Here is a 26549-nt window from a genome sequence, read left to right as displayed (position 1 = left end):
TGAACCTTGGGACGTATGTTTCTGGAGGCAGTTTGTCTTCCAGTAGTCTCCCTTACAGATTGGACAGGGCCGTGGGGGCTGCTTCTGATTTCGGGGGCAGACTCTCTTTTAGTGCTCCCACACTGATAACAGCCGGTCATAGAATGAGAAGCTCCCTGGGATTGAGAGGTTTATATGCCTGTATGGCAGCTATTAGTGCCTCTGCCTTTTTCTCGTTCCTTTTCTCCCTTTTTCTTGGGCTTCCTCATGGTCCCGATTATAAAAGACCAAGGTGGTGACTTTCAGGATTTTCTTTAGAGTACTGTCTGGTGCAATAGCTAACTTTTTGCAGCATTCTTCCAATATTTGGGGCTGCTTGGGTTATAAACTTGTCTTTCAAAATTAACTATCCTTTTATAGAGTCAGGAGAGAGATGGGTGTTTAATTAAAGCCTCTCTCAGTTTTTTCCAGGAAAACAGAAGGGTTCTCTTCAGACCCTTGGTTTATGGTTGATAACTTAATGTAATTGAGAGATTTGCCTCTAGTTTTCAGATCTTCCACTGTGCATCCCTAAAAATGTTTTCTCGGCCACTTTCCTAGAGCAGTGTCTGAGTCTCATTGAGGATTATTGGTGGATGCTGCCTGCTTGGCTGTCAGAAAGGGCTCCCTAATTTCTTCCCCCTTTTGGTAGGTGCCATAATAAGATAAACATTTCATCTCCAAATGTCTCAGTGACCTGTAAAGCTGCCTGCTTCTCTGAAGCTCTAAGAGTCTAGTTGAGAAGTAACATGATACCCTTCCATGAAAGCTCAGACATTTGATTAAGGTTCTGAAAGGCTTCAATATACCTATCAAGGTCGACACAATTGTCCTAGATTTCTTTTTATCTGCCTCAAATCTTGTAAAGAAAAGGGGACTTGTACTTTGATAGGACCATATTCACTATGCATTTCCTGTAAAGGAAGAAGTGATGCTGGAGCGCATCCAGGTCGAACTCTTCTAACAGGATGAGGTTCAAAAGGGGGCCTGGATAAGGGGGACGAGATGATCCAAGAGGAGCTGGGACCTGGGCTGGTGCAGGGGCCTCTGTCTCCTCTTCTAAGGAGGCAGACTGTTTTTTCCCTTCTGTCTGGATTAAGTCTGGCTGGATATCACTGCTATAAGTGCAAGGTCTATTATACATTGCTGACAGAGCTTGCGGTTATTCTGCAGGGCAAAAAAGGCCTATACATATGGAATTTTGGACCATTTTCCTTCTCTGTGGTTGAAGAGATCTAGCTATAGGATAGTATTATAGTTGTTATTTTCCCCAGCTGACTAGGTCTCCCCATCTTCCAACTTCTAGCTGGGCCAAGCCTTGGTACTGATAAATACCAGGTATTTTTTCTTCAGAGTCTGAGGATCAAAGGAGTCCCAATGTCTCGCACTTGAGAGGAGTGCAGGCTACCCATTTAGAAAGAGAGAGGGGAGAAAAAGGCATCCTTAGTCTTTCCCTCTGCTGTGCTAGAGTCCAAGGCGTCTCTCAGGCTTGCCTTGGTCGTGGATGTGCGCGCAGCCACCATTCATGACCAGGGGGGGATCAAGCCAGCAGGAGTAGTTGCGTTCACTTGCACTCAGCCTTGACCCTCCTTGTCAACTGCCTTTGATTTCTCTGAATTCTATATGAGCTCAAGACTAAGATGAATCCAGGGGGGGTCCCTGCATATTATTTGTCTATAATTCTCATCTGGCTGGCAGTTTATTTAGCTTCATCAAGCATAACCCAGCATCCTGCCCTGAAAAGAAGCAATTTCTCAAAGAGACACATAACTAAGTAACATTTCTCAGAAGAGCAGTAGGAAAAACATGATAGGAAAGATTGGAAGTCTTTGTCCGACACCTGAACAGGCTGGTGGGGACTGGGGGCCGGTGTAGGGTCCTTCGGATGTACCCTTGGCCAGATACCTTTAGTTGCCCCAGGACCTTATTCTGATCCCACATGATGGCCGAACTTCTGTGAAGGGAAACTGGTTTAGAACAAGGCCAACATTCCCAACACCAGAGGGCAAAGGGGGATCGACCATTGCTCTTAATATACATTCTAGGAGCTGGTGTGATCCTGTTCACTTCTCCAGCCCTAGTTGGTACCACTGTTCTTTTTTTTTTTTTTTTTTTTTTTGATGTGGAGTCTCACCCTGTCACCTAGGCTGGAGTGCAGTGGTGTGATCTCGTCTCACTGCAACCTCTACCTCCCAGGTTCAAGCAATTCTCCTGCCTCAGCCTTCTGAGTAGCTGGGATTACAGGTGCACACTACCACACCTGCGTAATTTTTGTATTTTTGATGGAAACAGGGTTTCACCATGTTGGCCAGGCTGGTCTTGAACTCCTGATCTCAGGTGATCTGCCCGCTTCAGCCTCCCAAAGTGCTGGGATTATAGGCGTGAGCCTCTGCACCCAGCCCCACTCTTCTTGCTCCCCCACACTCTAACCATACAGATTGGCTATTTTAGCTCTCTGGCAAACTAAACTCTTTCACTTCACAGCGTTATTTTTTTTTAAGGAATCTTTATTTATATAAATATATAAAATTCACATACCATACAATTCACTGTTTAAAGTATGTGGTACAGTGGTTTTTAGTGTATTCACAGAGTTGTACATCCATCACCACTGTTAATTTTAGAACATCTTTTCACCCCATAAAGGAACCTTGTACCCACTAGTGGTGACTCCCCATTCCTCTACCTCACCCCCCCCCACCTTCACTTCACTTCCTGCCAACCACTAATCTACTTTCCGTGTCTATGGGTTTGCCTTTTCTGGACCTTTCATGTGAACGGAGTCATATAAAATATGGTATTTTAGGATGGGCTTCTTTCACTTAGCCTGATAATTTTAGGGTTCATCCATGTTGTACCATCTATCAGCAATACATTCCTTTTTATTGTTGAATAAATGTTTTATTTTATGAATGTACATTTTATTCATAAGTTGATGAATATTTGGGTTATTTGTACTTTTTAGCTATTACGAATAATACTGCTATGAACATTTGTATACATGTTTTTGTGCAGATGTATGTTTTCATTACTCAAGAGTAATGAAGTAATGGTAAGTAGTGGTACATACTTAGGAGTGGAATTGCTGGGTTATATGGTAACTCTGTTAAACTTTTTGAGGAACTGTAAACTGTTTTCCATAATGACTGCACCATTATACAACCCCATCAGCAATACATGAGAGTTCCAATCTCTCCATATTTTTGCCAACACTTGTTATATTGTGTTGAGTCCAGCCTCATTCTTTTGAATGTGTCCTTCCACTTGTCCCAGCACTGTTTTTTGAAGACTGCCCTTTACCTGTTGAATTGTCTTGGCACCCTTGTGGTCAGTTGATGTTAATGTGAGGGTTTATTTCTGAATCGCCTCAGAGCCATTTATTTACATGCTGTTTTATCACCTGAAACAGTCTTCCTCACCTTCTAAACTTGAGTGTCCTCTTTCCTGCCACTGTTCCTGGCTAATTTGTTTTCATCCTTCAGGTCCTAATATAAATTTCTTTGTATAATCTTTAGAGATTTCATCCCTAATAATCCTCTAGTCCCTCCCAATCTAAATTAAGCTATTTTAAAATACTCTTTCATAATACTTTGTACTTTCTTATTGTACTACTTTTTAATAATATATTTGTTTATGTTTTTTAATTTAACACTTTTTTTCCTATTAAGTCATTAGGTCCATGAGAGCAAGGACCATGTTTGTTTAGTTTACTGCTGTATTCTCAGTGCCTCTCACCTTGCCTGTCAACATAAAAGTACTTCTTGAAAGTGGCAGGCAGTATTTTATTTTAAACTATGTATTTGTTTTGTTTCTATCTTAGGGCCATGAAATGACAAGCATTGGACTGCTACTTGGTGTTTCTGCTGCAAAACTAGGCACCATGGATATGTCTATTACTCGGCTTCTTAGCATTCACATTCCTGCTCTCTTACCCCCAACGTCCACAGAGCTGGATGTTCCTCACAATGTCCAAGTGGCTGCAGTGGTTGGCATTGGCCTTGTATATCAAGGGACAGCTCACAGACATACTGCAGAAGTCCTGTTGGCTGAGATAGGTATGGGATTAATAGTGCTGAATCTTCATAGGCATGTACTCTCCACTCCACATTAACCCAATTAAAAGTGATAGTAAAATTATAAAAATTAAGGAAAGACAATGGTAGCTTTTATGAGCAAAGAATGATCTAGTACTAATTAAAAAAAACAACAAAACTCTAAGTAATGTTATCCAAGGCTAATGTAACTGCAGGTTATTAACCTCCATGTTTATTTGCTAGCTCATTACTGAATTCCAGTGGTCACATTTAATGAGGTACCTGTGGTTTTAATCAGCTATGAGTATGCTGTTTATCCTGCTTTACCAGCAGTGTCTACCAGTGGCCTGCACTTAAAACTCAGAGTAGATTGTTTTGGTCCCTGAGAGACACTAAACTAAACACATCACAGTGTTTACTGTGTTGGATAACAGCACTTCCAATAGAAGTCAAGTAATGGACTCCTGCTTTCCTCCTTTACATGCTGGTGGGTATGTTGGTGATGAACCTGGAAATGGTAAGGTCCACACACTCACTTTAGTGAACATTGTCTCTGTTTTTTATTGGGTCCAAACTTTTTGGAAATCTTTATGTGTTGTCATCTTTTTCTGCCAAATGGAAATGCTATTGGCATTATTAATATGCTCAACAATTTAGTTACATACTTATATGTCCTATTCAAGATCTTTTCTATATGGATTTGTGAATATATTGTTAAAGATGTATTATTCTTTAGTATAATTGTATCAGATAGCTATTGCCACAGTGATGCTACATACATACAGGCATAGCATTGGCCCAGGCAGCTCTGCTTTAGGCTGTAGATGTGTAGCCGGCTGTTCTGCTGCCGTTCTGCCTCACCTGCCTCATTCTGGGACCCAGGCTGGAGGGTGTGTTTCTCTCGTGGTGTTGATAGAAACCTAAGAGAGAACCAGTGAAGATTGGGACCCATAATTTAGTCTACTATAATGATAAATGAAATTATTCCCAAAGTTGAAATGTTTTGGCTATCACAATACATGGTAGCATAAGTCAGAGATCTGAAAAACGCTTATTCTGAAAATATTCAACACTGGTTGTTAAAGCATGTTCATCTGCAAAGTAGTCTACCCTTCTTTGGCTATATCATGATGATGTCTAATGGTGTCATTGCACAGTCTCACAGCTGCGGCATACCTCTTTCACACTGTATATAGAAGATTTCATCTTTAATTCATATGTATATGCCTTTTTATATAATTACTGTCAGAATGTACATTAAAAATTTTTTTTTTTTTTGAGAGAGTCTTGCTCTGTTGCCCAGCCTGGAGTACAGTGGTGCAATCTTGGCTCATTGCAAGCTCCGCCTCCCGGGTTCACGCCATTCTCCTGCCTCAGCCTCCCGAGTAGCTGGGACTACAGGCGCCCGCCACTATGCCTGGCTAATTATTTTGTATTTTTAGTAGAGACAGGGTTTCATGGTGTTAGCCAGGATAGTCTGGATCTCCTGACCTTGTGATCCGCCTGTCTCAGCCTCCCAAAGTGCTGGGATTGCAGGCATGAACCACTGTGCCCCGCCTAAAAATTGTTTTTATAGATCATTGTTATAAATGGGTTTTAAAACAAATTTTGTGTAATATTCATTGAGTCGATGGTCTGTAAAATGCCTTTTTTTAACTTTTAGAACTTTTTAGATTGTTTCTAATAATCCTTTGTTGTTATATATAAACATTACACTGATTACCTTTGTGTGATTTTTTTCTTTAATTTTTATTATTTATTTATTTATTTAGAGACAGAGTCTCGCTCTGTCACCCAGGCTGGAGTGGAGTGGGGCGATCTCGGTTCACTGCAGCCTCTGCCTCCCAGGTTCAAGCAATTCTCCTGCCTCAGCCTACCAAGTAGCTGGGATTACGGGTGTCTGTCAGCATGCCTGGCTAATTTTTGTAGTTTTAGTAGAGATGGGATTTCTCCATGTCGGACAGGCTGGTCTCGAACTCGTTGACCTCAAGTGATCCTCCTGCCTTGGCCTCCCAAAGTGCTGGGATTACAGGCAAGGGCCAGCACGTCCAGCCTTTTTTCTTTTTTTTTAAATTGCATTTTTTTCCTATAGGGATAAAATTTCAGGAATGTGAACATTTTTTCAGAGGGAAGGGTTTTAATACATAGTACATTTTATCGTTTTCAACACGGTAGTGTTAGAGTTATAGGGTGCCTTTTAAAAGTATGAATTTTGTATCCAGTCAGACTTCTAGGATCAGTACACAGAAATTCTACCATAGTAGGGCTCATTATTATATACACTCGAAATAAATGTCTAAACATAATATTTAACAGCTTAACAACATAAGTAAGTGACCTCCTTATTCATTATCATCATTCGAACATGTTTCACCACATGTGATGTGTGGATTTGAAAGTAATGAAAACAAAATGTAAGATATTTCGTTGTTGTTGTTGCTGAGATGGTGTCTCACTCTGTCACCCAGGCTGGAGTGCAGCGACCTGATTTTGGCTCACTGCAACCTCTGCCTCCCAGGTTCAAGCGATTTTCCTGCCTCAGCCTCCCCAGTAGCTGATATTACAGGCACCTGGCACCCTGGCTAGTTTTTGTATTTTTAGTAGAGACAGGGTTTCACCATGTTGGCCATCTGGTCTCCAACTCCTGACGTCAAGTGATCCACCTGCCTCGGCCTCCCAAAATGCTGGGATTACAGGCATGAGCCAGCACACCCGGCCCAGATGTTTTAACAAAAAAATAAAACTTTTTTTTTGAATACTCTTACCTTTTTCCCTTTAAAATTTTTTTCTACTACTTGGTAATTTTTTTGGTAAGACTCAAAGTTTCACAGTATTTGAATATCATTGCTTATAAAGACTTAAATTGGCAATTTAAAAAGAACTATTTTGGGCCCTTTTTTTTGGTAGGTAAACCTACAGTTGTGGACACCATTTATTATAGTGTCATAACTTTCTGAATGGAGTTATATTCCATTCGTATGTCCAGTGCAACTTGCTAGAAAGTTAACTCTAAGATTTTTATGAGATGAGATTTTGAGAAGCTAGTTTGAACTGTGTTGCTTTTGTTTTTACAGGACGGCCTCCTGGTCCTGAAATGGAATACTGCACTGACAGAGAGTCATACTCCTTAGCTGCTGGCTTGGCCCTGGGCATGGTCTGCTTGGGGGTAAGCATAGCCTATGCCTTCCCATGCTTCAGTTAGGACATCTACATGTTGAGACAAATAACGTTGACACCTAAACCTGAATATTGTCCCTTACTATGACTTAATCTGCTGCCCAGCTCTATTGTCTTTTTGGATATTTTTCAAAGTACCAGATTTGCAAATTGAGAGAAACTGTGGTCAAGAGTGGGACTTTAAGATTTCTTTTCCTCCAGCTTGCAGTGTTCATGAACAAACTGAAGGGAATAAAGTTTTTTTTTTTTAAAGCGTTCAAGACATAGAATGAATAAGTGACAGCCCACTATGACTGAAAACAGAGAATAGTGAAAACGTATATGATCGGGAGCCTTAAGAGTCTATAGTAGCTGCTTGAAACAAACCCTAACCCCCTTTTGCCGTAGTGATGTTCACTGTGTATCCCAGAATGTTGTCCCAGTAGCATCTTCCTTGTGACAAAATGCAGTATCTGATTGACCCATCTTTAACTCCATCCAAGAGATGTGTACAGAATTACCAGAAATGTTTCATTAAATGATTGTTTCACTTGAAATGTGGTTCCCCTTGAAAAACCACCAATACATTCTTATGGTCAAACTAAATGATATAAAGAAAGTTATAAGGCCGAGGTGATCGGATCACCTGAGATTGGGGGTTCAAGACCAACCTGACCAACATGGAGAAACCCCATCTCTACTAAAAATACAAAATTAGCCAGGTGTGGTGGCGCATGCCTGTAATCCCAGCTACTCGGGAGGCTGAGGCAGGACAATCGCTTGAACCCAGGAGGCGGAGGTTGTGGTGAATCGAGATCACACCATTGCACTCCAGCCTGGGCAACAAGAGTGAGACTCCATCTTAAAAAAAAAAAAAGTTATAGTGGAAGGAATTTTTTTCATGTGTGTTCTGAAAATCCACCTTGTGGTTGACCATCTGTTAGGGCCTTGAATTCACATTGGCACGTGAGCTAAAGAGGCTGGTGGTATAATGGAAAATAATCAGCTGGGTGTGGTGGCTCATGCCTGTAATCCCAGCACTTTGGGAGGCTGAGATGGGCGGATCACGAGGTCAGGAGATCCAGACCATCCTGGCTAACACGGTGAAACCCCATCTCTACTAAAAATACAAAAAAATTAGCTGGGCATGGTGGTGGGTGCTTGTAGTCCCAGCTACTCAGGATGCTGAGGCAGGAGAATGGTGTGAACCCAGGAGGCGGAGCTTGCAGAGAGTCGAGATCGTGCCACTGCACTCCAGCCTGGGCAAGAAGGCGAGACTCCGTCTCAAAAAAAAAAAAAAAAAAAGAAAAGAATCACACAGGGAATTGCAACTTGAATTCTGGTCCTAACTAGTGATTCAAGTCATTTAACTACATTATTGTGTATTGCTTAATCAGCTTCATGGATTGTTGAGCCAGATGGCCGTGTTTTATATATAGCCCTGCGACTTAACTATAATAGCTGTATAACCTTGGGCTTAATCCCTCTGTGCCACACTTTCCTTATTTATAAAATAGGGTTTTAATAGTAGCTATTTGATATGGCTGTTCATTCATGTTAAACACACAGAATAGTGCCTGACACAGAGCATGCATTTAATAAATTACTATTATTATCATAGTTATTGTTGGAAAAGTTCTTAAGTACAATAATGACAGTATTCAGGTATTTACAGTTCCAGTTTCAATTATATAACTAATATTTTTCTTTATTGTTAAATGTAACTAACTCTAAAGCTCTTATGTATTTTAAGACAGTACTTAAAGTTGAACATTCATGTATTAAAACTTTTATGAGAATTATTAATATTTATTAACTCATGATTAATGTTTGCTTTAAATTGGAAATAAAAAAAACAAAACCCAAAATAACCTGCTTTGAAGTTAGTTCATTTTTATATTTGTTATGGGTATGTGTTGTGGATCTTCCTTCATAAAATTTCTTTTCACTCGTCTGTTATTGTCTTTTCCAGCATGGCAGCAATTTGATAGGTATGTCTGATCTCAATGTGCCTGAGCAGCTCTATCAGTACATGGTTGGAGGACATAGGCGCTTTCAAACAGGAATGCATAGGGAGAAACATAAATCACCAAGTTATCAAATCAAAGTAAGTACACAGCAAAGTAATAGATCAAAAGTCTGGAAGCTGGGAAGTTAATTGGAAAATACTAGTGTTCATACTGACATTGGTAAATGTGTTAATTTTAAGCATAGTTATTATTCAGAGGAATTTTATAATAATTTAGAACTCTTTTACATGCATAAACTCTTCTTTCAATAGGAAGGAGATACCATAAATGTGGATGTGACTTGTCCAGGTGCTACTCTAGCTTTGGCTATGATCTACTTAAAAACCAATAACAGGTATTTCTACCCACTCACCCTTCCTCCCGCGGTGATAGTGTGATATCCTCCCTGACCTTGGTTGTAAAATTCAGTTATCTCATGTGTTTCTTTCCCCTGTGCTGGATTAAGCTGATTTTTTGTTCTTTCAAGTACTGTAAGTTTTTGAAAGAAAACTTGCAGTATTTGAAGTTATAAAGATTTTACCTGGAAATAATGTATTTGGCTATTTTAATGGTATTTGACAATATAGTTTTCAATTTCTGTTCATTTCTGTTTTGTAGTTGATGTCAGTAACACCCAAGCAATGCCCATGTTTGTTTTCATTAATTTAGCATATTGCTGTGAGGACTGGTTAAGCCAGAAATACTTATCATTTAGTGTGATCTTGGTTACCATGTAAAACAATGGTTTTTGCCTACTTCAGGAGCTTTTGTAATTACCAAACCGTCTGCCTTCCTAACTTGCTATATTAATGCTGATGCTTGAAAGTAAGATCTTTGGCATTTATGCTTACACTTTGCATGAGGAATAAGTTGAGTACAAGACGTTATGCCATGTCTTTAGTCTATTAATTAAAAACAAATTCTAAGATTCAAGGAGTTTTCAGTGTTCCACATTTCTCCCTTTAGAAAAAGTAAATGTGTGCAGAATTAACAAAGTGTTTAAAAATAGATATTTATTACTTTACTATTTGGATGAATGTGTAGGGCAGTGCTTCCTTGGCACTGGGGATATTTCATTGAGCAAAACTAAAAATATCTTCCCTCATGGAGTTTATGTTATAGTAAGACATACATGTACATCTATAATAACTATTACATTAGAAGGTGTGAAGTATTGTGAAAAATATGTAGAGCTGTAGTGGAGCGGGAAGAAATGTTTTGAAATAGAGCTTGAGATTCTTGATTGTCTTGCCCTCTACTTGAACAGTGTGCCTTACTGTTTTCCTCCACCACCAGATCTATTGCAGATTGGCTCCGAGCCCCTGACACCATGTATTTGTTGGACTTTGTGAAGCCAGAATTTCTCTTGCTTAGGGTATGCTTTGTCTTCATTTGTGTTAACATGAGAAGTCTATTTGTGGTTCTTAAACTTAGCTTGTAAGCCGGGCACAGTGGCTTACGCCTGTAATCCCAGCACTTCAGAAGGTTGAGGCAGGAGGATTGCTTGAGTCCAGGAGTTTGAGACCAGCCTGGGCAACACAGGCTGTTCTCCATGAATGAATGAATGGCAAACATAAATGTCTTTACAAGAGAGCCTTTTATTTTTAATTTGTCATGCATATCTAATTGGCAGTGTTCATTTGAAATTTCACAAATAGGACTTTGGGAATCCCAAGAAAGGTAACCACGTTGATATTTAATACTTGGAGTGACATTTCACTGTCTCACATTATTATTCAAAACTTCCTAAAAAGCAACAAGTGATTAGGACTTTTTTACTGCTTTGTTTTACATTTTTGGATTACTATCAGGGATGTGATAATACTGTTAAGGTTGAATCTAAAGAAAGTAACAATTCACTTAATTGTCTAAAATTTTCCCTCTAATTCTTTTTTTTCTGATGTTTAAACTTAGCATATAGAAGCTTTTAAATTATGTGTAGATAGAGCTATGATTCTTTCCTTTGTGATTTTTTTCTTTTCCAGAGTACATTTTAAAAAGTACCCGCACAAGCCCTCTAAACTTTGGTGATATTCAACTCAATTTTAGTTTTTCTTTGTTAAAATTTAAATCTTTATTTTAATGAGTAGTTTAATGAGTAAGACGGTTCCCAACTTAGGATTTTTAACTTAACCATAGTGTGAAAGCGGTACTCATTCAGAAGAAACTACTTCCAATTTTAATTTTAATTTTTTTCTTGTACTCCTGGCAGTATGATGCTCTCATGGTGTTGGGTAATGGCAGCAAGCTGCAGCTCCCAGTCAGCCATGCAGTCATGAGGGTAAATGACCCATACTCTACAGTTTACTATGCTGACAGAGAATTTCACTCAATTATAGGCTAATTTGAGTGTTTGGAGCATGTTTAAGGTAGGCTAGGCCAAGCTGTGTTGTTTGGCAGGCAAGGTGTATTAAATGTATTTTCTTTTTCTTTTTTTTTTTTTTATGAGATGGAGTCTCACTCTGTGGCCCAGGCTGGAGTGCAGTGACACCATCTTGGCTCACTGCAACCTTTGCCTCCTGGGTTCAAGCTATTCTTGTTCCTCAGCCTCCTGAGTAGCTAGGACTACAGGCGTGTGCCACCATGCCTGGCTAATTTTTGTATTTTTAGTAGAGATGGGGTTTCACCATGTTGGCCAGGCTGGTCTCAAACTCCTGGGCTTCAGTGATCTGCCCGCCTTGGTCTCCCAAAGTGCTGGGATTATAGACATGAGCCACTGAGCCTGGCCTAAGTGTATTTTCAGCTTAAGGTATTTTCAACTTACAATAGGTTTATCAGTACATAACCTTCCTGCATTTGCATATACTTATTTTTCAAAATTCTCAACAGTTGGGAACTGATTCTTAAATTGTTCTGTTTATTATTATCATTGTTATAAAATGTATGAACTTTACTTGCTCTAATTAATTTTATCTCTGTTGCATTTTTAAGACACTTGCTCGATGCCTGATTTTGTGGGATGATATTTTACCAAATTCCAAGTGGGTTGACAGCAATGTTCCTCAAGTAAGTACATATAATAAATATTATATCTTTAGTAGCATAAAATTATGATTTCTTATGGGATTTTTCAAAATTCTGTAAAATATTTTTTCTTATGAAGGCAATATTGATCATTAGGATACCTCTTAAAGACCTAAGAACTTCCATTTTAAGATTCTGTGCTGCACAGACCACCGCCTTCTCTTTTAGCCTCAGGTCCCTAGAAATTGTAGTTTTTAAAAATTAAATATGAATATCGGTGTTGCGTGGGAGTTAAAAAATGAAAGGAAAAAACTAAATATGTTTGCCAGAATACTCTAAAAAAGTGTTGATATTTTTGTCATAATTAAGTGCACATTTCTAAGATGCTATTTTACTTCGTGACAATTTTAGATCTCCTAATAACTTTTAATTACTTTATATCATATTTATTCGATAAGCCAAGTATACTAGTTAAAAATGAACAGATTTTTTTGGTAAAAACTGAAAACCGAATATTGTAACTAGCCACTGCCCTTAGACAACTGTCCATGTCTAGTGGTCTCAGTTTCTTTATGTAGATTGTTTCTTTCAGTATTTTCAGAAGAAAAATCTCAAAGATTGAAAGAAGTTAATATGAACACCCACATCACCAATAGACTCTATAATAATATTTTACTGTATAAACATGTTTCATCACTTATCTATCCACTTATCTATTCCTCTATCTAATCCAACATTTTTTGATGAATTTCAATGTTAGTTCCAAACAGTAATACACTCCATCCCAAAATTGTACCATATGTATTAACTGGAATTGGTATTTACATTTTTTCCTTTTAAGATAAAATTTATATATCGTGAAATGCACAAATGTTAAGTACCCTATTGGATAAGATTTGACTAACACATAGACCTGTGGAAACCAGCCTCTATCCCTTGTGCCCCTTCCCTCTTTGTGCATTCACCTGTACCCCCAGGTAACCAATATGTATTTTGTTTATCTCCCAAAATATGTTAATTTCCAGATGTAGAACTTTATATTAATGAAGCCACATATGGCATATACCCTTTTGTATAAGACTTCTTTCAGCGTTTTCAAGATATTGAGTATATTAATAGTTCATCCTTTTTATTATTAGGTGGTACAGATTGAGTATTTCTTATCTGAAATGCTTGGGACCAGAAGCGTTTTTGGATTTTGGAATACTCGAAATTATACTTACTGGTTGAGCATCCCTCATCTGAAACTCTGACATCTGAAATACTTCAATGAGCATTTCCTTTGGGCATCATGTTAATGTTCAAAAAGGTTTGGATTTTGAGCATTTTGGATTTTGGATTTTCGGATTAGGGATCCTCAACTTGTGTATTCCATTTGCAATCCTATTAGGTAGGGCTGGAATTACTGAGGCATAGGGTAGATGGTATATTTAGTTTTATTAGAAATGATAAATCTTTTCCCAAAGCAGCTGTACCATTTGACACATTGACCAACAGTGTTTGAGAGTGTTGGCTGTTGCCCATCTAACCGATAATTAATGGTGTTAGTTTTTTAAGTTTTAGTGCTGCTGATGAATACGTAATGATATCTGACTGTTGTTTAAATTTGCATTTCTCTGCTGACTGTTAATGTTGAGAACTTTTTCATTGGTTTATTGGTCCTCCATCTATCTTTTTTTGTGAAGTGTCTGTGCATGTCTTTTGCTTATTTTTTAAAAAAATTTGTATTTTTATTACTGCGTTGCTGGAGTTTTTTTAATGCATTCTAGAAACCCGTTCTTTGTCAGATTTCTTTTTTTTTTTTTGAGATGGAGTCTTGCTCTGTCGCCCAGGCTGGAGTGCAGTGGTGTGATCTCGGCTCACTGCAAGCTCCGCCTCCCAGGTTCACGCCATTCTCCTGCCTCAGCCTCCCGAGTAGCTGGGACTACAGGCACCCGCCACCATGCCCTGCTAATTTTTTGTATTTTTAGTAGAGACGGGGTTTCACTGTGTTAGCCAAGATGGTCTCGATCTCCTGACCTCGTGATCTGCCCGCCTCGGCCTCCCGAAGTGCTGGGATTACAGGCGTGAGCCACCACGCCTGGCCTGTCAGATTTCTTTTGCAAATATCCCTCCCACTCTGTGGCTTGCATATTCATTTTCTTAGTAATAATTTTAATGAGCAGAAGATATTAGAATGTTAAATAATGTCTGATTTGTCAGTTTTTTCTTATGGTTATTCTCTATTCCTATGAAAAAAACCATTTGTCTAACCCCATCATGAAGATAATCTTTTCTGCTTTTCTCTAAAAGCTTCCAAAGTTTTAGTTTTGTGTATACTTACATAATTCATTTCAAAGTAATTTTGTATATGATATGAGGTACATGTTGAGGTTGTCTACCAGGGAAGCTCATCAGAGACTCAGCACCCAAGTTTTTAATTGGGACCTGACATGTAGGTAAGGTACCCTCTGCCTTGTATGTACCCAAGTTCCAGATTCTCAGGAGAATGTGTGTTAGCCTAAACCACGTTGTTTGTAGTTCAAGCACGGTAAACACAGGTATATACATTTTGTTTTAAAGCAACCGGTTAATTTACTTGGAATCAGATTGTCATTCTTTCTTGGTTGCTAGCTCTAATCTTGGTGCACGTCTTTATCCTGTGGGCTGTTGGAGTCTGCCCTGTGCACACATGGTTCATGGATCAGGCAGACATTTGCACAGAATTTATATACAGAGCTTGGGGCCCTGTCTCTGTGGCTCTCTCCTTTGTCATATTCTGTCCTCACCTCCCAATGGGTGTGGTATTTTCCTGTATCCTGGTTGTTAAGGCCAAGAAGGTTATGAGCTTTTAATTGTAGCTTTTGCCATCTTTCTTGGCGCAGATAGACCTGCTTTCAGAGCAGAAACCGCAGAAAGGAAAATGTATCTAGTGGTGTTCCTCTCTTCCATGGATCGACTCTCCCCTCTAGAATCTGCTTGCTTTTGTCCTCCAGTGTCTTGAGGTCAGGAGTTGGTGAATTAAGCCCACCTGATTTTTAGAAAGAAAATTTTATTGGAATATGGCCATGCCCATTTGTTTACTTATTGTCTGTAGCTGTTTTTTGTTACAAATGCATAGATCAGTAGTTGCTGGTATTTACTATTTGACCCTTTTAGAAATAGTTTACCGACCCCTGCCATAGATAGTTTGGATTTTATATTTTGTCTAGGGTTTATACTTGTTGTATGAGTTGATCTGATAGGAATTTATTCATCTATTATTTGAGGAAGTAGAACTCCTAGGTTTGTTTTTATTTGTTTAGTTCTTCCAGTTTTGTTAATCACTGATATGAAAGAGGTGAGGAAGAATTGTTTTAAATGACTCGCTCATTTGTTACCATAATTTTAACTCTAGCATATTCAGATGTCAGAGATTTTAGTTTTTTTGAAAGTGCTCTTTGAAATGTATATTGTAGGATGAAATACTTTTTCTTTCACTCCTTCATTCAGCACATACTCATTAATCCTCTGTAAATGCAAGGCACGTGCTAAACTCTGTAATACATTAAAGATACATCAGACATATAGAGTGTTCTCAAAAAACTTTAGTTTATTAAATGCACTAAGTTCAGCTTACTGAGATTAAACATGTGTACAAGTAACTGTAATTCCAAAGTGGAAAGTATAAATTCATGTCAGAGAGTGGTCTTTTTTGCGGCCTGGTGTGGTGACTCGTGCCTGTAATCCCAGCACTTTGGGAAGCCAAGGTGGGCACATCACTCGAGGTCAGAGTTCGAGACCAGCCTGGCCAGTGTGGTGAAACCCTGTCTCTACAAAAAACAAACAAACAAACAAAAAAACACAAAAAACAGTGGTCGTTTTTTGTTTTTATGAAAATATGGTTTTTGGACTTTTAGTATAGAATAACATCTCTCTCTTTTTTACTTCAGACTTTATAATGTTATATTTGGTCTTTATTACATCAGGGATACTGCAAATAGGAGAGATAACAATTTCACAGTTCTCCTGATTGATATTTCCTATCAGCTTCCACTTTTCTCTGGGTTCTCATCTGGAGCTACATTGATTCTGGAGCAGGGTTCCTTGTAGTGAGCAACCTAGCGTTAAAAGGAGGATTTTTTTTTTAAAGGTCACTTTGTAAACTGCTTGTCTGTTTGAACTTAGGGCATATGTAAAATAACAACTAGCATCTTCATAGCACTTTTTCTTTCATAAAAAGCTTTACATACAGGGTGCGGTTACTCACGCCTATAATCCTAGCGCTTTGGGAGGCCAAGGAGGGTGGATTGCTTAAGCCCAGGAGTTCAACACCAGCCTGGGCATCATAGTGAGATCCCATCTCTACAGAAAAATACAAAAATTAGCCAAGCATGGTGGTGTGCACCTGTAGTCCTAGCCACTTGGGAAGCTGAGATGGGAGGATTGCTTGAGTCCGGGAGGTAGGGCTGCAATGAGCCGTGATCGCACCACTGCACTCCAACCTGGGTGACAGAGGGAGACCCTGTCTCAAGGCAAAAAAAAAGAGGAAAGATATTTTAAGTCTTTGATTTGGTGATATTCAGTACATAAGAAGACTGTATTATAAGTGCCTTCTAATATTTATTTATTTTATTTTATTTTATTTTTGAGACTGAGACAGGGTTTTGCCCTGTTGCCCAGGCTGGAGTGCAGTGGTGCGATCTTGGCTCACTGCAACCTCCACTTAGCGGGCTCAAGTGATTCTCGTGCCTCAGCCTCCTGAGTAGCTGGGATTACAGGCCCAGCTAATTTTTTGTTTTTCAGTAGATACGGGTTTCACCATGTTGGCCAGGCTGGTCTCGAACTCCAGGCTTCAAGTGATCCGCCTGCCTTGGCCTCCCAAAGTGCTGGGATTACAGGCGTGTAAGCCACTGTGTTCGGCCAATATTTATTGTTTTATTGAAGAAAACATCCTGAAATGTTAAGAAATCTTCTAAGAAATCTTCTCAGAAGATTAAAAGAATAAATCTTAAATACATTCATATGTTTAGCAAACATTAGCTTTATCTTTTTTGGCTTTTTTCTTTTAGGAGAAAAGGATCAAATGTCTTCTTGGTTATTACAGCTAGATATTCTGTGTATGTTTTTCGGTAAATTGTTCATTACCTATACTAAAAGGAAAAGGATGTCTTTTCTAAACAATAGTTGTAACATAGCTGATAAACATATTGACAGTTTAGCTTATCTTAGCCTAGTGAATAACCTCACCTGTGGTAGGTATGTTGGATTAATGCTGGAAACATCCCGTAAAGAAGAAGTCTGATTAGAGTTGTCTCCTATTTCTCTTTTCCCACTTCTTCCCCTCACCCCTGCCCCAATTCTAAAGCCATCATCTTTGTATTTCAGTTGACTGGTATGCAATATTATGACCCTGTTACTGATTTAGAATATACTTACGTCTTCCTGTTTATATTTGTTCAGCCCTATTTAATTATTATTATTATTATTTTTTTTTTTGAGATGGAGTCTCACTCTATCACCCAGGCTGGAGTGCAGTGGCGTGATCTTGGCTCACTGCATCCTGCACCTCCCAGATTCAAGTGATTCTACTGCCTCAGCCTCCTAAGTAGCTGGGATTACAGGCGTGCGCCACCACGCCCAGCTAATTTTTGTATTTTTAATAGAGATGGGGTTTCACCATGTTGGTCAGGCTGGTCTCGAACTCCTGACCTCGTGATCCACCTGCCTTGGCCTTCCAAAGTGCTGGGATTACAGTCGTGAGCCACCATGCCTGCCCTTAATTATTATTCTTACTTAGCCCATCTTAGATTTGAAATTTGATTACATTCAATGAGATTAAAATATAGGCTTTTGAGTGAAATGGTTTGGTAAAGCTTACTTTATATAAATATAGCCATGATAAGCAGTATGTTATTCTTCAGATTATTAAATATTTGTAATGAGAACATTGATATCTAAGTATTCTTGCTTTCTATATTGACAGATTATAAGAGAAAATAGTATCTCTCTCAGTGAAATCGAATTGCCGTGCTCAGAGGATTTGAATTTGGAAACTTTGTCGTAAGTGATGTATAATGCAAATTAGCTATCCTAGCGTCTATCAGATAATTAAATTGAAATATACCATGTGGGAGTAATATTGTCCTTGATTTAAGTAATTATGAATCCCACATATTTCTAACCATTATTTATCAGATGTTCATGACGTTGGTTAAAGCTCTCTGAAGTATAGAGCTCTTGCCCTCAAAAAGCAATATTGGAGATTTAACTTGTATGTATTTGTCTTTTATCCTTTCCATTAAAGAAATTGGCAACAATTTTAAAAATTGTTTTTGCTGCATATGAAACTGTAGGCAAGGGGCAAACTTCATGAGTAAGGTGACCCGATGCTTCTGCTGAAAAAAAAATACATAGAAATCTGCTGACTGAGGGCACTTCATCATTCCCAGAAAGATATAAACTAGCTTAGAGAACTGGAATATTTATTGTTACTTATTTCAAGTTAATTTTAAAGTAAAATAATGATTATTAAATTTCTTGTCACCTGTTTTCAGCCAAGCACATGTCTACATAATTGCAGGAGCCTGCTTGTCTCTGGGTTTTCGATTTGCTGGCTCAGAAAACTTATCAGCATTTAACTGTTTGGTAAGAAGTATTTTAGTTTACTGTGTTCTTTTTTTTTGTTTGTTTTAACAAAGCTTTAAGATGCTTCTTATAACTTGGAATTTTTTCTTTTGTTTTTCTAGCATAAATTTGCCAAAGATTTTATGACTTATTTGTCCGCACCTAATGCTTCTGTTGTAAGTCTTTTTATCATTCTCCTTGGGAATAAAATTAAACTTGAAAAAAATTTACTGATGATCCAGTTACTTATGTGTTATCAGATATCTCTGCTGTTTTTTTAAATGTAGAATGAGAGATCTGAAGAACCATTAGCTCATCTTTTTATTTTTGTTTTGCGATATTAACTTAGGTGAGAATATGATTACCCTGGAAGGATGCACAGGTATCTAGTTCTTGTGACAAGAGAATAAAAAAGGCCATAATATTCACGGGTTGTCATACCTCATGTAATTCTGTCTCAGTATTAAATATTGGGAATTTCCTTTTTAAAAAATATTAGTACTTAGTAAGGATTCAGTTGCTTTTGAGGCATTGCTTCTCTGATGACAAGACTGAGAGATTTTATTTCCTGGTAAAAGCTACATGGATTTATGCAACACTATTTATAATATGGAAAAGTTAGAAACATCAAAAAAGTCTAAAAGTAGTTAATTAAATTTGATTATGGTTTATTTATATATTCTTACACAGTGGAGCTACCAAAATCACGTTATACAAGAATTTTTTGTGGCTGGGTGCAGTGGCTCATGCCTATAATCCTAGCAACTTTGGGAGACTGAAGCAGGAGGATCATTTGAGCCCAGGAGGTTGAGATCAGCCTGGGCAACATAGGGAGACCCCATCTCTACAAAAAATAAAAAATTAGCCAGGTGTGGTGACACACACATGTAGTCCCAGCAACTTGGGAGGCTGAGGTGGGTGGATCCTTTGACCCCAGGAGGTTGAGGCTGTTGCATCACTGCACTTCAGCCTGGGTGACAGAGTGAGAGACCCTGTCTCCAAAAAAAACAACAACAACAAAAAAGAAACAACTTTTTTTTGTGAGTGAAGCTTGCTTGTAATAGGTCATTTAAAAGGTTAAAAATATTGTGTAGAGTAACATCTCCATTTCATTTGGAAAAAATATGTGTAGGTAAAGGAAAAATTCAGAGAAAAAGCCAAAACGTTAACACCAGTTATCTTTGGGTGTGACATTCCAAGTGATTGTTATGTCTTGATATTCAATATTTGAAATTATCTCTGTTGAACTTATATTTCATAATCAGGGAAAATATTTGTATTTACAGATTTTTTTTTTCTCTGAGACAGCGTCTCGCTCTGTCTCCCAGGCTGGAGTGCAGTGGCGCGATCTCGGCTCACTGCGAGCTCCGCACCCCGGGTTCACGCCATTCTTCTGCCTCAGCCTCCCGAGCAGCTGGGACCACAGGCGCCCGCCACCACGCCCGGCTAACTTTTTGTATTTTTTAGTAGAGACGGGGTTTCACCATGTTAGCCGGGATGGTCTCGATCTCCTGACCTCGTGATCCGCCCGCCTTGGCCTCCCAAAGTGCTGGGATTACAGGCGTGAGCCACAGTGCCCAGCCCAGATTTTTTTTTAAGTTACAAACTTTTGTAGTCTTCTAATGATGGCTAAGCTAGTTCTGATAATAAAGAAATGTAACACAACAGTTACAGTGATGTCATCTCTTCACCTGACAGACAGGTCCTCATAACCTAGAAACTTGTCTGAGCGTGGTGCTGCTGTCTCTCGCCATGGTCATGGCTGGCTCAGGAAACCTAAAGGTTTTGCAGCTTTGTCGCTTCTTACACATGAAAACGGGTGGTGAAATGAACTATGGTTTTCACTTAGCCCACCACATGGCCCTTGGACTTCTATTTTTGGGAGGAGGAAGGTAAGTGAATATGTATTTTTCCAATGAAAAGATCTCATTGGTGAGATCTATAAGGGTGACTTACGTTGATCTTGAAGATAACATGAAAAATTTAAATTCTGACTAGCTCTTAGCTTAACTAGCAGCATTATTCGACTTGATGGGCTTCTTTGTAGTTTAACCGTCAACTTATGGTCTACTCAGTAGAATTACCATCCTCTCTGACACACTGAGCATCACTGTATTTCTCAGAATAGTCTGTGCTCGGTTCTTCAGTGCATCACTGCTTGTGCCCACCTGGTTAAAAATTTTACCATTCCACTAAGCTACTTTCTCAGAAAGGTCACAAACAAAATCGTTTACCAGATCCTGTGACATTTTCTTAGTTTTCAGCTTTCTTGATCTTTTTCCAACATGTGCCATTCCTGACTACATCCTTTATAAGACTGCCCTGGCTTTAGATGAACCAAAAACCATGTACAGAAAAGTGTATAAATCATAGGTGCACAGGTCAAAGAGCTATCTACCACAGAAAAATCTCTTTGTTATCATGTAGATCAAGATTCTGTATAGCACTTTCAACTCACAGCACCCGTCTCTGCTTCTGCCATGCACCCCTCTCAATCACTATTATCTTCCTTTCCCCAAAGATAGCCCTATCTGGTCTTCTAACACCTTACGTTGATTTTGCCTGTTTTTGACATTTAAATTGAATTATACACGATGTATCCTTTTGCACTTTACTTTTGCTCAACATTATGTTTGTAAGATTCATGTTGTATGTAGCAATGGATTATTCAAGTTTCAGTGTTGTATTACACTTTCATTGTATGACTACCACATTTTATTGATCTCCCCCATTGATGGATATGCTTCTTGCTTCTAGTTTGGGGCTGTTATGAACAGTGCTGTTAGGGAAAGTTGTACATGTCTTCGATTTTGTTGTATATAGAACTGTGTGGAATTGGGTCATAGGTTGTACGTGTGTATTCACTTTCAGTGAATAATACCATCAGTGCTGCAGTGCACTTGTACCATTTTACATACTCATGGGCAGGATGTGAAGTTCCAGTTGTTCCATATCCTTGTCAACCCTTGTTATTGGTATAGTCTTTTTAGTAGTCTTTTTAGTTTTAGCCAACTAGTAGGTATATAACAGGATCTCATTGTGGCTTTAATTTCTGTATTTCTGAATAATGTTCTTGAGTACCATTTTACACTTTTAATAGCCAACTGCAAAACCTCTTTTGTGATGTCCAAATCTCTTGCTACCCAGTTTTTATATTTATCTATTTTAAAATTTTTATTTGTGGTAAAATACACATAACATAAAACTTATCAATTTTTAAGTATGCAATTAAGTAGTGTTAATTATATTCACACTGCCGTGCAACCAATCTCCAGAAATTTTTCATCTTGCAAAACTGACATTCTATAGCCATTGAACAACTCCCTGTTTGCCCCTCCCACCAGCCTCTGGCAGCCACCATTCTACTTTCTGTTTTGATGAGGTTGACTGCTCCACATTGGTTTAGCTTTGTATTGATTACTGTGGATTCTTTAAACTATGTCCTAAGCCCTTGGTCAGCTTTGTTTGTTGCAGCTATCTTTGCCACCCTAGGGCTTGTTTGCCTTTTCACTCTCTCTCAGTGGTGTCTTTTGATGACACAATTATTAATGTTCTTCTTTTATAGTTTTTACTTCTTTGTGTTGTTTATGAAATATTTTCTTACCCAGAGAAAAGGAGATATTCTCCTATCTTATCTTCTAGAAGTTTTTAGCTTTTCCATTCACATTTGAATCTAAAATCTACCTGGCACGGATTTTTCTCCATGTTTTTTTCCCGCTGCTATTGAAAAGTTTATCCTTCTCCACTGCTCTGCAGTACCACCTCTATTATATAAGTTAAGTGCCTATACACCTGTGTTTATTTCTGGGCTATTAGGTTTTGCTGGTCTGTTTTTCTGTACTTGCACCAATACTCCATTGTCTTATGAGTCTTGTTATCCAGTTGAGTAAATCCTTCAAACTCGGTTTTCTTCTTCAAAAGTGTGTTTTTCTCTTGGCTCCTTGCATTTTCATATAAATATTGGAATCTGTTCCATACTAAATAATCTGATAAAATATTGATCAGAATTGCCTTGATTGTATGTGTCTGTGTTAAGGAGATTAGAATCTGTTACAGTATTGTCTTCCATTCTGTGAATATGGTATACCCCTGTATATATTTAGCTGTAGTGTGTGTGACCTTGATCAATGGCTACAGTGTCTGTGTAGGCTAATTTTCCCCTCTTCTTTAAGACTGAGCTTACCATTGGAACTCACCTTTTCAGAAGTACAAAAAGTAAAGTTGATCAGAAAGGTGTGTATTTCCTCTCAACATGTTTTGTGGAATTGTCTTTCTTTAATTGTTTAGAATTAATAATGGTCAAAGAAATATTACTATGAAAATTCTTATTTATTTTATTCTATGATTTTTGAAAATTTTTTCCTTTCAAAATGAGCCTCTCCGTGTCTCTTAATCCCATCTTTCATTGTTCCAAACTGTATGACTCTCCTCGCTCTTCTTTCGTATCGAATTGATTTTTCTACCATTCTGCTACTGCTTTTCTAGTGATTTTTGGTTTTTAAATGGTCATATATACTCTGTAACAACATTTAAACTTAGCATAGCTACACCATTATGTTTCTACCCAAAATTTCTAACATTAGTATCTTAATATTTATCTTTGAATTTTGGTTTATCAAAAGGGTACAAAGAAAATGGCTTATTCCATGCACATGCCAAAATAGATGTATCTCTTTGCTTAAATTTTGAAATCTCTTCTTTCTAATCCATTAAATATATAAGCATATATAATGAATTATAAGTCCTTATTTAATACTCCAATTATTTTAAAAGACAGGGAAAGAGATTTGGGTATATGTGTGTGCATGTTTGTGTGTAAGAAAAGTATTTATACTCAATAGTTTTAGAAGTGGTTTTATGTGATGTCCTACACCATCTTTATTTCAAAATATTTTTTAGAAAAACTCTGGGACTTTAGATTAATTTGCCTGTTTGCTATACTAAATTTGAGCAACAATAAAGTAATTTAAGGAAAATTTTAATAGACCCTTTACCAAGAGAATATTTTTAAAAGTCTATGAAACTTTATCTTAAAAGTGTATCATATTGGTGAGGAAAGAATTTATATTTAGAGGAATAGTTGTTTATACAGTCATTGTAACTTTTTTTTTTTTTTGAGAAGGAGTCTCGCTCTTTCGCCCAGGCTGGAGTGCAGTGGCGCGATCTCGGCTCACTGCAAGCTCCGCCTCCCGGGTTCACGCCATTCTCCTGCCTCAGCCTTCCAAGTAGCTGGGACTATAGGCGCCCGCCACGGCGCCCGGCTAATTTTTTGTATTTTTAGTAGAGATGGGGTTTCACCGTGTTAGCCAGGATGGTCTCGATCTCCTGACCTCGTGATCCGCCCGCCTCGGCCTCCCAAAGTGCTGGGATTACAGGCGTGAGCCACCGCGCATGGCCTCGTTGTAACTTTTTAATGATAACTTTTGCCTTTTCATTTAGTCAGTCATTCTAAAGGAATCATCATGCTTCACAGAAACAGAAAAAACTGTTTAAATACCAATTACAACATTCTGTATTTTTAAAACTCAGATTTATAATTGTATATTTATATACATAGGCATATACATAGGCATATACATTAATAAAATTGGATAAGAAGGTGGCATACTTGGTACATGACTCTTCAATATTTATAATTTCTAGGACTGCATTCATGGTCTTCACTACTCTGCTATTTTATGTTAAAACCTTGCTTCAAGGGTTGAAATTTAACATTTATGGGATATTACTTTGGCTTTAAATAGTGATGATCTTGAAATGGCCCAAGGACTAAATGAAAAGTGGAATGTTCACACCACTGACACTCTTGTATTATGAGGGCATCTTATCAGTATGCCTTACTATTATACACCAGTTTCCTGATTCTCAAGAATGCCTTGAAAGTATGTGCAATATAATCAATAACATCTGTCCCCACCGAACTTACTTTGCAGGTACTCTTTGAGCACATCAAATTCTTCCATTGCCGCTCTTCTCTGTGCCCTTTATCCGCACTTCCCAGCTCACAGCACTGACAACCGGTGAGTCTAGTGATTCTGTCTTCAATGTGATACTTATTAAGTTCTCTAAGGGGATCATTTGGTTGTATTTTGGTTTCATGGAATTATTTCCAAATTAGCATTGTTTTGTTCTCCAACTTAGTTATATTCCTGGCTAAATCTTTTAAGAAAATTATCTCACAAAGTATTAGACCAGAGGATAACTTTGGACACCTGATGACTGACCAGTCTTCCACCATTCTCAGATCTATAGAACTGCTCTAAACCCAAAAGGAGATCAAGTAAAGTTGTCTTTAGGGAAAAAATCATCAGGTAAAGGATAGTTGCCAAGGGAAGTTCAGGATACTTTTTTTGTGCTCTAATTATTTAATTCCAAGAGAAAAGTTTGTCTGATTTAGTGGCAATGTCTGTATGAGTTTCTTTTTTTCCTTTCACATAGATGCCGATAAATTGTGTATAAATGACATAGACGGGACAAGAAAAGCAAAATACAGCAAAAAACCAGAGACAATTTAGAAGTGGCAGTGAGTGGTAGAACTTCAAACCATGTAGAAGCAGTTAAAAGCTCTGTGTTTTAGGGTACGAGGAACCACCAACACTTAAGTTTCCCTAGATATAGTTTGAGACATAGCAGATCTCTTGCATATGGGGGCAGAGAATAAAATAGCCCCTATAAGACACCTGAGCCCTGTGCTCAACTTAAGGCATCCCATGTTGTCTCCCCAGAGACAGGTCAAGAGCCCTTTATTGTTTATGGGAGAAGGGTCAGGAGCACTTATCACAGTAACCTAAGCCATCATTTTAAACTACACTACAATGTATAACCAACGACAGAAGAAAGATAGCTGTTTTACAAAAGTAGCCTAATCTGAAGACCACACTCTGATGGTAGGTGCAGCACAAGAATATTGTTAAGTTAATACACTTCTGACATGTGGCCTCATGCCTGTCATTTAGGAAAGATTTTTTGAGTTGTTAAAGCCAATTATTGGCTAGGGTACAGTGGAGAGCCACACTCACGTACTGCTGGTCATAGCTATTTGGCTTAGCTATTGTAAACGAAGCCATTTTCCATTTGGTGACAAGAATCTTTTTTTTTTTTTTTCGAGATAGAGTCTCGCTCTGTCGCCCAGGCTGAAGTGCAGTGGCGTGATCTCGGGTCACTGCAAGCTCCGCCTCCCGGGTTCATGCCATTCTCCTGCCTCAGCCTCCCATGTAGCTGGGACTACAGGCACCTGCCACCACGCCCAGCTAACTTTTTGTATATTTTAGTAGAGACGGGGTTTCACCGTATTAGCCAGGATGGTCTCCATCTCCTGACCTTGTGATCCGCCTGCCTCAGCCTCCCAAAGTGCTGGGATTACAGGCGTGAGCCACTGCGCCTGGCCGGTGACAAGAATCTTTATGTAATTTGTTAGTGTCATTTTTTCTGATCTTTATTGATTTTATTTTTAATAGATTTATAGAAATAAATGTATTTGAGTAAGAAGAGGGAAGTTACTGTCTATAAAGCTTTTTAAAATTGAAGTCTCATTTTATCCTTCTTTTTTTTTTTTTGAGACAGAGTCTCACTCTGTTGCCCAGGCTGGAGTGTAGTGGTGCGATCTCAGCTCACTGCAAGCTCCGCCTCCCAGGTTCACGCCATTCTCCTGTCTCAGCCTCCTGAGTAGCTGGGACTACAGGCGCCAGCCACTGCGCCTGGCTAATTTTTTTGTATTTTTAGTAGAGACGGGGTTTCACCGTGTTAGCCAGGATGGTCTCGATCTCCTGACCTCGTGATCCAC

At 38.5% G+C, this 26549-nt stretch overlaps 1 protein-coding gene across 6 annotated transcripts in view; it reads left to right on the top strand.

Moving 5' to 3' along the window:
* The window catches only part of ANAPC1 (anaphase promoting complex subunit 1), a 117963-nt gene that overhangs the window by 71174 nt on the left and 20240 nt on the right, over nucleotides 1-26549 (top strand). For all 6 annotated transcript variants that reach the window (XM_017004711.2, XM_017004710.3, NM_022662.4 and 3 more), the window contains 11 exons: nucleotides 3839-4073; nucleotides 7127-7218; nucleotides 9181-9315; nucleotides 9490-9572; nucleotides 10514-10592; nucleotides 12149-12223; nucleotides 18126-18202; nucleotides 18697-18787; nucleotides 18889-18942; nucleotides 20465-20658; nucleotides 24700-24786. In XM_017004711.2, coding sequence (XP_016860200.1) covers nucleotides 3839-4073; nucleotides 7127-7218; nucleotides 9181-9315; nucleotides 9490-9572; nucleotides 10514-10592; nucleotides 12149-12223; nucleotides 18126-18202; nucleotides 18697-18787; nucleotides 18889-18942; nucleotides 20465-20658; nucleotides 24700-24786 — 1202 coding nt within the window. The remainder of the gene's footprint in view (nucleotides 1-3838; nucleotides 4074-7126; nucleotides 7219-9180; nucleotides 9316-9489; nucleotides 9573-10513; nucleotides 10593-12148; nucleotides 12224-18125; nucleotides 18203-18696; nucleotides 18788-18888; nucleotides 18943-20464; nucleotides 20659-24699; nucleotides 24787-26549) is intronic.

Source organism: Homo sapiens, chromosome 2, assembly GCF_000001405.40.
Source record: "Homo sapiens chromosome 2, GRCh38.p14 Primary Assembly".
Lineage (NCBI taxonomy): Eukaryota > Metazoa > Chordata > Mammalia > Primates > Hominidae > Homo > Homo sapiens.
This window is presented reverse-complemented; position numbering and strand designations above follow the sequence as displayed.